The 11,963-nt window shown below is 48.3% G+C and overlaps 1 annotated feature.

Annotated features, from left to right (window-relative positions):
• Positions 291–390: a silencer, noted in NCBI's record as "silent region_5084". NCBI's record gives its function as "represses an Ori minimal core promoter by ATAC-STARR-seq in GM12878 lymphoblastoid cells {active_cell/tissue: GM12878}" and the evidence as "EXISTENCE:reporter gene assay evidence [ECO:0000049][PMID:35858748]".

Consider the following 11,963-nt stretch of genomic DNA (forward strand, 5'->3'; position numbering starts at 1 on the left):
GCGCACTCATTATCCCCATTTTAGGGGTGGAGGGAACTGAGGTTCAGAGCGTGAATTCCCTTGTCCAGGATTGCACAGTGAAGGGCAGAGCTGAGATTCAAATTCAGGGATTCCTGTCTCTAAGACATCCTGAGAAATGATTTTGCAACGATTACTGGACCCTTTGCAACACTGCCTCCCAAACTGCCTTAAAAAAAGCAAAAGTACCCTCAGGATTTGTAAGAGGTGAGATGTCTTCCCCCTGTGCACAGAGCAATCCTCCCTCCAGCCTCGCCCACTGCCCCAGGGGTTGGCAGAGTGGCTCCACCTGCACCTGCACAGGTGGCCCCGCGCCTCTCACACAGGTTCAGCTCCCGCCGGTCCCTGTGCAGAGCGCCCCCTGCCGGTCCCTCTTGGAGGCTGGGCCAGCGTTGCGAGTCTTGCCAGGGACGCGCGCTCTAGCGCCGGAGGCTGGGAACGCACCGCGGTGCCACCGCGTCCTGCAGGGGCGGGGCGCGCACCTGGGGATGCACCTGTCCTAGACCCCCTGCGCCTATTCCTCGCCCGCCCCATCCTTCCCCTTTTCACTTTCCCTGTTCTGCCCTTTCCCTCTATTTATAATAATTTAATTCAATTAGCAGACCCTCTCGCCAAAACATGTACGCGACCACAGAATTCAGCTCGAAGTTTCAAAATTCAGTACATCACAGGCACTTTTTGCAGGTCATCCACCAGCGTTCTGGCCTATTTGGGCCTCAGCAGGGCTTTTCTGATTTAAAGAGAGGAACAGACCACTTCATTTTTTCCCATTTTTTTTTTACTTAATATAAATGAATAAATAAAGCCAACATGTAGTTTCCAAATATGTGATATAGTTTAAATGTTCACATTTGAAGATGTAAATGCCTTTAAGTTGCAGAAGGTATAATGCATAACTCACAAGATGCCTACAAGATTTGGGAACATCATTCCCAGTGCAGTAAAGAAATGTGGTCAGAAGTTTTCAGTGGTGTGTTGAGGATCTGCTTTGCACAATGGTGACAGCTTGGCTGTCACTGGTCATGTAGCTTTCTTTGAACATGACACCAAAGGGCCCAAGTTGATTGCTGTCAAGAACGTGGGGCCTGAGAACTCAGTTTGCCCTCCTTTGCCTGCTAAGACCACCTGATGGAAGCTTTGGCTTCTGTCTCCTGTTTCCAGTACGTGGGGATGCCTGTGTGCATTTGTGTGCATGTGTGTGTGCGGTGTCTGTCTTAGTGAGTGTCCTTGGTGGTCTGGACTTTCTCTCATAGCAGCCTTTGAAGGAGATGCAATGCTTAACTCCCTTCTTGGAGGAGGGGAGGGAGGAGCACAGAATGCAGGTACAAGCATTGGAGGGTAAGAACCTGAGCCCAGGGATGTCTGAGTCAGGAGTACTCACTAGGCTGTTCCAATGCTGCATGAGTGATACAAGAGAAAACTAGGAATTGCAGTGAGGAACAGAACAGCTAAACAGTAGGGGAGCAACGAAAGACTGGTCGGGCGCAGATCCACCTCTTCTAGAGCCCAAGTTCTGGCAGTTGTTTTATAAGATTCAAAGGTCCTGTTTTTGGTGAGACAGAACACAGTGACAGAAAGATAAAAGGCAGAACTCTGTTGCTTACAGTTCCAAAAGAGAGGGAACTTCCAGGCGGGACTATGCAGACGGCTGCGTTGTGGGTGAAGGCTGCATCATGGTCAGGGAAGGCTGCGTCATGGGCAGTGAGGGCTGCGTCATGGTCAGGGAAGGCTGTGTCATGGGCAGTGAGGGCTGCGTCACGGGCAGTGAGGGCTGTGTCATGGTCAGGGAAGGCTGCAGCATGGGCAGTGAAGGCTGCGTCATGGTCAGGGAAGGCTGCGTCATGATCAGGGAAGGCTGCGTCATGGTCAGGAAAGGCTGCGTCATGGTCAGGGAAGGCTGCGTCATGGTCAGGGAAGGCTGCGTCATGGGCAGTGAGGGCTGCATCATGGGCAGTGAAGGTTGCAGGGCACATAATGTGTGGCGAGTGCAGTGGCTTGGTTAAGTTTCCAGGGCTCCCTGTGGACTGGCAATTTGAGGACTTTCTTGGGCTCTTGGGCTCAGAGCTGTCTCTAGTTGTTTGATACCCAGCCCTAGAGCACTAAGGGAGATGCATAGTGGCTTGGAGTGTGGAAACCCATAAGGGAAGTGGTGGGGGACATGGACTTAATCAGATACTGAAGAAGGGGAACTGCCCCTGCCTTTTGCCAGAAGCCTCAAAAGTGGATCAGGACAGCATCAGACAAAGAAACGAACAAACTCTATTATACAGCCAATAACTTCAGGGAATGGTGGACTGTTTACAATGAGAAATGCCTCCCCTCTTTCCCAGGCCAGTTCCCCCAGGACATCTGTGTCTTGCAGAACCAACTGAAACAGTGAACTAGAGAAATTCCTCTTTTTCTCAGTAGAGGAAATGGAGCCACTGAAAGTTGGAATGATGATTGCAAAACATGCCGACAAGCAGGGCCAGCCCTAGGCCTGTGTGTCTTTTCTCCCAGCTTCCTTTGCTGGCAGTTTTATTGGTAAAACCATCAGTCTTGTTAGCACTCGTGATTCAGTACTGATGACCAGGCATTTTTTTTTTCTGTGTTGTGATTATTCTAACATAATTACTATGGGAAACATGTGTTGTTGAACAAAGCGCTGTAGGCATAGCCATGCCTGATTGGTTTCTATTAATTCCATTCATAAATCATGGATTAAAGTGGATGCAGAAGTGGAGAGGGAGGTGAAAGGAGCTGTGGAATGGTGAGCCAGCCCCTGCAAATTTCCCTTCTGGGGAAGGTGCTGGAAGTTTGTCCATCTCCCTGTTGGCTGCTTTCTCTTCTCCCCAAGCCCTCCCTTTACGTGCATTTCCCCTTCAGATCCCCAGCTGTTAAAAATCACAGACAATTGATCCAGGTATGTTCCTGGAGGATGTTTTTCCAGCCATCACTGTGATCTGCCAAGATGTGTCCAAATGCTGTATTCTGAGTTCTGCTGGGAGGGACCCCCTTCATACAAGCCTTCCTCGTCTGTATTTAGCTTCGTGATGCAACATCACACCCAGTGTCCCAGTTCATCCTCGCAACCCTGCTGAGAGGGTACCATAGCATGGAAAAAAGCTTGCAGCAGAGAATTTAATGTCTTTTGAGGAGCATCTCTGGCATGCCGTTGGGCCCTGGCAGAAATGGAAACCTTGATGTGGGTGAGGTACTGAGTGACCAGTGATTGTGCCTCTGGAACCGTCTTTCATGAGCTGGATTCTTTAGGATCCTCCAAGTCATAACGTTAGGTCAGCTGAGTATGGTCCACTGGAAGACGGAAATGGTAAGTCCAGCCCTGAGCCTGAGCAGGATCAGAGGGCACGAGGAAGCTGCATGGGCAGAATCCAGGCCCCAGGTTACCCACCACTGTTGAACCCATCATCCCTCAGTGTACACCTGTGGCCGGATGACCCCATGTTGCCCACAACTGTTGCAACCCACCATCCCTCAGTACATACCTGTGGCCATATTGAGGGTCTCTGACACCTGGAGGAGGGGGAACACACTGGAGCTTAGTCTAAAGATGAACCCACCAACATGTGGATGTGAGACCAAAATGGTCAGCTGCTGTATCATAGCCATACCCAGGCGTGGCCTTGAAAGGCAGTGGAGAGGAAAGATCTTTACACTGGGCAGAACCTTGAATAGAGCCCTGTACAACCACTTTGTGTGGAAGGGGATGTGGCTTGAAGTGAGAATTTATATGATCTCATGGGCAGTAATGGGTGGCCTGGTGGGCTAATCATGGATCTGAGAGATTGAGGACAAGGAGTTCTGGGGATGAAACACTGGATGATCACCTGAGATTGGACACAAAGTGAAAATCCTTCCGTTGAATGTTAATGTGTTAGCACTCACCCAGACACATCCATCACAGGCAAGGCATTCAACAATGAGTAGACAAGGAGGCCCAGCCCATTGACGTTAGCTGATCTGTCATTGGCCAACCCAAACTGGAGCAATGATCACATGCCCAGAGGGGCCATGGCAGCAGAGACTGAGGAGACACAGCCCCAGCAGTGTGGACTTCACTGCTCAAGCCTGGTTCAGCAGCAGCCACCTCTGAGTGTCCAGCCTGCCAGCTGCAAGAGCAATGCTGTGCCCTGTGATGGCAATGTCCTCGTGGAGGCTGTGCCAGTGCAGGGTCTCTGGGAAGCAGACACCAGGGTGGAGCTGGAAGTACAGGAGATGCCCACTCAGGGAAGGGGAGAGAGGGTGCAGAGGAAGGCAAGGGGAGCCCTCGGACGATGATGCATGTCTGGCACCTGTGAAAATGAGGAGGAAGGAAAGGGTTTAGCAAAGAAGGAGCCCAGATCATAGGGCAGCTTGGAGAAGGCCTCAGCCCACCCACGGGGGAGCTCCCATGCAAGGATGGCCATGGAGGAGCCTCACACCAGCAATGTGGAGCTGTTGTACCCCCGCGGTGCTCACTGGCTGGGAGCATCCCAGGAAAAGCATGTCCTTGGCTCAGATGCTGAGGCCGAGCCTGAGGTGCCCACAGCTAGAGGCTGTCAGCTCTCTGCACTCTGTGGGGTGGGCTCCCTCTAGGAGAGGGACCTCAGAGGGCACATCACTGACTGCCTCAGAGACCAGCCCATCTCTCGAGGCCAGCCAGGCTTCCTGGGGCCCTTCTGTACTGGAAGGGCCAGGAGCTTGTTCCCACTGAAACGTGCACCTGTGCTGGAAGGGGTTTCCCGCTCTTGGCTGCAAGGTCCCAGCCAGCACCTCTCCCCAGGGGGTTCTGGGGTGACTAATGCACAGGCGTTGAATCCCACGCAGCATAGCATCAGGGGAGCCACTGCACAGGAAGGAGGTGCTGGTGTGGGCTGGAGCATGATGCACGTTGGTCATCTCATGTGCTGGACCTTACGGAGCTGCCTGCCTGACAGTGCAGGGGAGTGGCGTGGAAACATGCTGCTGAAACACCAGCTCCATAACAGCTTCTGTGAGAAGGGGATGCTGCCCCCCAACCTAGGGAGAATCAGACCTCTATGTGGTGCTGTGTCCCCAACAGGAAGACCACACAGGACCAGGACTCAAGGTGCAGAAGCAGGAGTGGCCCCACTTCCCATAGTCCCCAGGTCCTCAGGGGGAGTTTGTGTTGACATAGTCACAACTCTGGGCTCTGTGTGCTGGAGGTTATGGCTGAATGTGGGGTGCCTGCTTTCTGGGGGACAGAGAAAGGGTCTTGTTAAAGTGCAAGCTATGGCCACTGCCTGGGCTCCTGGACTCCTGCATGTGAGGACCAGCAGCAAGGGAGTCATGTGGCCATTTATCCAGGGCACCTAAAACTATGGTCACACATGAAGGGAAGGAGGAATGAGCGTGGAGCTCAGGTAACCCCCATGGGTGCCTCTTGCCCCATTGTGACTGTGAGTGGACATGGGCGGCACTCCAGCCTCTGGAGGGCATGGCCACCAGGGCTTGAGGGCCCCAGGGAGGGAGGTTTGGTCCTACTAGCATGTGAGCCACCAGGACCAGGGGAGGGGAGGGTTGGTGGGAGAATCTGGAATGGACATTGGCAAGGAAACCATGAACAGCAGAGGTGGCCTTGAGATCAACTGCACGGTTGGGGCCTCCATAGCCTGGCGCGGTGGTATGTATCTGTAATCCCAGCTACTTGGGAGGCTGAGCTGAGAGGATCACTTGAACCCAGGAGCTCAAGGATGCAGTGAGCTGATAGCTGTGATTCTGCCTGTGAATAGCTAGCGTGCTTCAGCCTGGGCAATGCAGAGAGACTCGTCTCCTAAAAACAACAAAAAAAGGCTGGATGTGGTGGTGCTCACATCTGTAATCCCAGAGCTCTGGGAAGCTGAGGCGAGAGGATTGCTTGAGCCCAGGAGTTTGAGAGTAGCCTGGGCAACATAGTGAGACCTCGTTTCTACTAAAAATTTAAAAAATTAGCCAGGGATGGTGGCGTGCACTTGTAGACCAACCAACTCAGGAGGCTGAGGCGGGAGGATCGCTTGAGCCCAGGAGTTTTAGACTACAGTGAGCCATGATCGCACCACTGCACCACTGCACCCCAGCCTGGGCAACAGAAGGAGATCCTGTCTCAAAAAAAAAAAAAAAAGAAAAAAAGAAAATCCCCAAAGCTCCCTGACTGCCTCAGAGACCAGCCCATCTCTCGAGGGAGCTGCTTGTTGCTCCTGCCTGGGGCTGGGGCTGGCTCGGTGGAAGTTGCAGTGGTCCTGAAGGTGTGCTGCTTGGATGTCCCCTCAGGCAAGAGCTCAACCTCCCGCATCAAGTATGTGGCCTCTGGAGTCTTTCCAGATCTGCCCGTGGTCTGAGCTCTCACAGCGCGACCCTGCTTCCTCCCCTTCACAGGCTTTCCCCTCAGGGAACTCTTACTCCTCCAACCTTGTTTCAGCATCCACTTCCCTAAGGACCCATCCCACGCAGGAAGAGGCCACTATTATCCTCAGCCTGCATACGAGGGAGTTGAGGCCAGAGTCAGAGAACACGCCCAGGGGTGCTTGGAGGCCGAGCCAGGACTAATCCCAGAGCTGCGGATCCAGAGTCCCATCTGTGGTTGAGGGTGGCCACGAGGAAACAGGACTGAGGATGCTGGGGAGAGGATCAGGCCTCTTGGTGAATTCTCCCAAACTCCTTGGCCCAGGGACTGTGGTTATTGTTTGGGAGCGTGGGTCGGGAGAGAAGCCATCATCTCTGATACCTTTCAGACCGTTCACTGCATCCCTGGCCTCCTGTGGTTCCCACTCACATTTCCTAAAGAATGAATGGCATCAGCTTCAGAGAGCGGCTTCCTCCTGTTTATTCAGTGCAGCACGGGCAGGTCCCAGGCAGACACTGTGGCACTTTCGGAGGGGTCATCCCTTTTGCCTCCCTTTCCCCACCCCCAATAGGTGAGTTCAGAAGTTGAGTCTTTGCCAGCCCAGAGGCAGCTGGCACTGCAGACAGGCACCTGGAAGGCACCACACAGCTCTGGGTGAGGGAGGGAAACTCAGGCTTCTGAGGACCCTTAGCGGGCAGGGATCCCAGGAAGCCCCTGGCCATGATGGGGTTGGTGCCCTGTGAGTGAGTGTTTTCTCCACCGCATGTCCACTGCTACATGGCCAGCATGTACCGGGAGGCAAATATTTTCCTCTAATATTTAGATTTGGGAACATTTTTTTCCTCCAGTTGCTCTTGAAACATGTAACCTTGGCAGGAGAAAAATGTACTTTTTTTTTCTCACTTAATTCAGATTCTACCAGTCTCATTTTTAGCTCACGGGATTGAATGCTGTGTAAATGGTTTTTCACCCTATGGCCCCGCTCAGGAGCATTTTTCCATAAGGAGGCATTTAATGATAAGCACAAGAGCAATTGCGGTGTTTTTCTCTGACTGTGGTATCTGTCAGTAAATAACCAGAATGATACTAATGAGCATTTTATTCAGCGGTCCCAGGGTCCTCCCTGGCCGTGAAGACGTGCTGAACCCATCCGTGGGGCTCAGTGACAACCTCCCCTCTTTGCAGGATGGAGGGAGCTGAAATGTTCCTGGTCTGGGTGCTGCTGCTGGTTTGCTTTGCGACGTTGCACTGGTCATGATGCTCTCTGAACTTTGGTTTCACAACTGTAATAGGAGGGGATTAACTCAAATCAGGGCTGCAAATCCATTTTCATGAGCTGAATGCATTTTTTGGAATCATCATTTTCCCCTTTCTTTCTTCGGGATGTTTCCAACTCACATAAAGCAGAAAGACTAGTATGGTGAAATTCCACATTCCCATACTCCAGACTCTACAGTTATGAACACACAGCCGGTTTTATTTCAACCCTATTTCTACCCGCTACCCACCTTCCTCTTGGATTATTATATCAAAGCAAAATGCAGACGTCTTATAATTTTGTGTGCATTTCTAAAAAAAAAAAAAAAAAAAAGACCCGGCCAGGCATGGTGGCTTATGCCTGTAATCCAAGCACTTTGGAAGGCCAAGGCAGGTGGATCACGAGGTCAAGAGATGGAGACCATCCTGGCTAACATAGTGAAACCCTGTCTCCACTAAAAATACAAAAATTAGCTGGGTGTGGTGGCACACGTCTGAAGTCCCAGGTACTTGGGAGGCTGAGGCAGGAGAATTGCTTGAACCCGGGAGGCAGAGGTTGCAGTGAGCCAAGATCGCACCACTGCACACCAGCCTGGCAACAGAGCGAGACTCTGTCTCAAAACAAAACAAAACAAATTAAACCTCATTTTTAATATTGTCATAATACCGTAAACTGATTAAAATTTAACACTATCCTCAAACATCCAGTCTGTGTTCAAATTTCCCCAATTGCCTCATAAGTGTCTTCTTTTCCTCCTCCTTCCTTTAATATTTTGCATTCCTATGGGCAATGTGTGAGAGCACCGGCTTCCCCACAGCCTGGCCAACAGGACATGCTGTTAAACTTTTGGATTTTGCCAATTTAATGAGCAAGAAATGATACTTTATGCAGGTTTAATTTATATATTATTATGGGTGAGGATAAACATCTTATATGTTTATTATCCATTTGCATTTATTTTTGGCAAAATTATTGTTCATATCTCTTGCCCATTTTTCTGTGATTTTGAGTCATATTGAGGAACTTTTACCTTTTCTTAAGTTGTAAAGGAATTCATCCATGTTTTGCTCTAATATCCACATAGTTGTATTCTTGCCGTCTTTCTTTCCTTTTTGTGTTTATTCCTTTAAGAAAACATCTTACCTGTTTGGAATGCATCTTGGTATAGCAGATTTAGGTTTTGTAACCTTCCCATATTGCTCACCAGTTACTCCAAAACCATTTAGTCGGCTGGGCACAGTGGCTCACGCCTGTAATCCCAGCACTTTGGGAGGCTGACGCAGGCAGATCACTTGAGGTCCGGAGTTCAAGAGCAGCCTGGCCAACATTGGTGAAACCCTGTCTCTACTAAAAATACAAAAATTAGCCGGGCGTGGTGGAGCATGCCTGTAATCTCAGCTACCGCAGAGGATGAGGCAGGAGAATCGCTGGAACTGGGGAGGTGGAGGCTGCAATGAGCTGAGATCTCGCCACTGCACTCCAGCCTGGGTGACAGAGCAAGACTCCATCTCAAAATAAATAAATAAATGAATAAATATAATAAAACCATTTAGTCTACTCCATTGGTCTACCAGTCTAAACAGTCATACACTCTGTTTAATGTCAGAGGCTTGGATCTACTGATATCCTTCCCACTACCTGGCATTTTTGGAGATACTTGCTTATCTTTCCAAATTAAATTTCTAAAATTAAGATGTTTTAGCTTCAGGGAAAATTATTTTTATTGGAATCATATTACATTTATAAATTAAATTATGAAGACATGACATTTTTCTGAGGCTGCATTTTTTTTCATACAAGAACAGGATATTTTTCCATTTTTTTGAGTCTACTTTCATATTTACCAGGATCGTTTAACAACTTTCTTCATATAATTGTGGACAAATTTTGCTAATATTTTCACCTAGGTGTTCTATTATCATTAATTACTCTTCTATTATGTCATCTGACTCCTTTTGATTGTATATGGGAAGTTTATTAAGTTTTTATATTGACATTTTACATGCTAATTCCCCAACTTCTCTTCATATTTGTAGTTTTTTCATTCTTTGGGATTTTCTAGGTATGTAGTTACATCATCTACAAATATTTTTTATTTGTAATTTTATCTCTAGAGGTAGATATAAGAATAGTTTCATCTCTACCTTTTCAATTTTTATTCCCCATTTATATTCTCTTTTTTAATTACATTGACTTCCAACACAATCCCAAATCAAATAGTAATGGGGAGATTGGGCAATGCAGAGATTCTAGGATTTCCATTAAGTAAAGTGCTGGTGTTCAGCTGAGATACGTGTGTGTGTGTCTGTGTGTACGTGTGTGTGTGTATACATATCCATATACACATAAAAAGTATGCATCAATCCATTTTTTAATACATGTGTAGAATTTCATTAAATGCAATGCATTTGTGGGCATAATCTAATGATTTTTCTCCTTAGCTCTTTTAATATAAGGTTTGCAATACATTAATGCATTTTAAAATATTCAACCACTCCGCATTTGAAGAATAAATCCCAATGAGCCATTCTGTGATTTTCAAAAACATGCTAGTGGGTTTTCTTTGTTAATTTTGACTGTACAATTTTTGCATCAATATCATTGAATTCATCAAGTTTCCATTTTTGGCAAGTCATTTGTCAGCTCTTGGAACTGATTTTATATTTGATTCATTAAAAAAAAACAAAACTGGAGGCTGGGCATGGTGGCTCGCACCTGTAATCCCAACATTTTGGGAGGCCAAGGAGGGCAGATCACTTGAGGCCAGGAGTTTGAGACCAGCCTGGGAAACATGGTGAAACTCATCTCTACCAAAAATACAAAAATTAGCCAGGCATGGTTATGTGCACCTGTAATCCCCCTACTTGGGAAGCTCAGGCGCAAGAATCGCTTTAGCCCTGGAGGTGGAGGTTGCCATGAACAAAGATTGTGCCACTGCATTCCAGCCTGGAAAACAGAGTGGGACTCCACCAAAAAACAAAAACAAACAACCCCAAAACCAAAACCAAAAACAAACAAACTGGAATTTTTAAAAATCCATGCTGGGGCATGGTTTTAAGTAGCTTTGGGGGTCATGTGATTTTTTTCATGTTTAATGAAATTATGCTTTTTGCTTTGAAATAGGGAATTATTTGCTAGAAAAGATTTCTCATAAAATCTAAATGTTATAGAAAACAATAAAAAATCGGAAAAATTATTGACCCTTGTCTCACGTTCATACCGTAGCTAACACATTCATGCTTTCATTTATTTGTGCAGCAACTAACTGACTGAAGCTGAGTTCTCATTGCTCCAAAGCCTTCTCTAGGTTGCTAGAATTCCCATCTAGCCTGCCTCAGCCCTTTGTAACACTCCCTGGACAACTGCCATAGTGACCATCCTATTTCCTGGCAAAACACCCACCCTGATAGAATTGAGCTCTTCACTCTTGGGCACCCACATCCTGCTGCTGACCTGGCAACGTCCATCCTTGCTGACTGTTCTCACTGACAGCCAGGTGGGTTCTTGTGCGGCCTGACGATCCACTCACCCGCTTTCCTGGTGACTATTCCATACCGATATGGTTTGGCTCTGTGTCCCCACCCAAATCTCATCTCGAATTGTAATCCCCATAATTCCCGCGTATCAAGGGAGGGACCCAGTGGGAGGTGATTGGATCCTGGGGGCAGTTTCCTCCATGCTTTTCCGCCATAGCGAGTGAGTTCTCACGAGATCTCATGGTTTCATAAGTGTTTGGAAGTTCCTCCTTTGCTCTTCTCTCTCCTGTCGCCTTGTGAAGAAAGTGCCTGCCTTGAAGAAGGTTTCATGAAGCCTCCCCAGCCATGTGGAACTGTGAGTCAGTTAAACCTCTTCCCTTTACAAATTGCCCAGTCTGGTGTATTTCCTTATAGCAGTGTTAAAATGACTAACACGTGTACTTTGGCCTTTTATCCTCACACCTACAACACTCTTCCTCCCATTCTCATGATCAGCTGATGTCCAAGCTTCCAATTTCACAAAGGAAATAAAAGCAAGCAGAAGAAACCTTCAACAACCTGTCCTCCCAATGCAGTCTGGGTCTATGGCATTAAAATCTGCCCTCCTTCCTATGTTACGGACAGACCACCTAAGGCAGCCCCTCCTGGCTGCACTAAGTCCCATCTGCTCTTGCCTTCTGGGGACATAGCTCCAGCCATTCTCCCCTCTCCCAGCTCATCCTTGACTATGTCCCACAAGCTCCTTGCTCAGGGCCTCTCCCCAGCTGTCCTCTTTTGCCTGAACCTGTTTCCTACAGGAACCTGCATGCATCCTTCCTCACCTCCTTCAGCTCCTTGCTATGCTGTCCCCTTCTCAGTAAGGTCTCTTGCCCATCCTATTGATAATGAT

Source organism: Homo sapiens, chromosome 12 (assembly GCF_000001405.40).
Source record: "Homo sapiens chromosome 12, GRCh38.p14 Primary Assembly".
Lineage (NCBI taxonomy): Eukaryota > Metazoa > Chordata > Mammalia > Primates > Hominidae > Homo > Homo sapiens.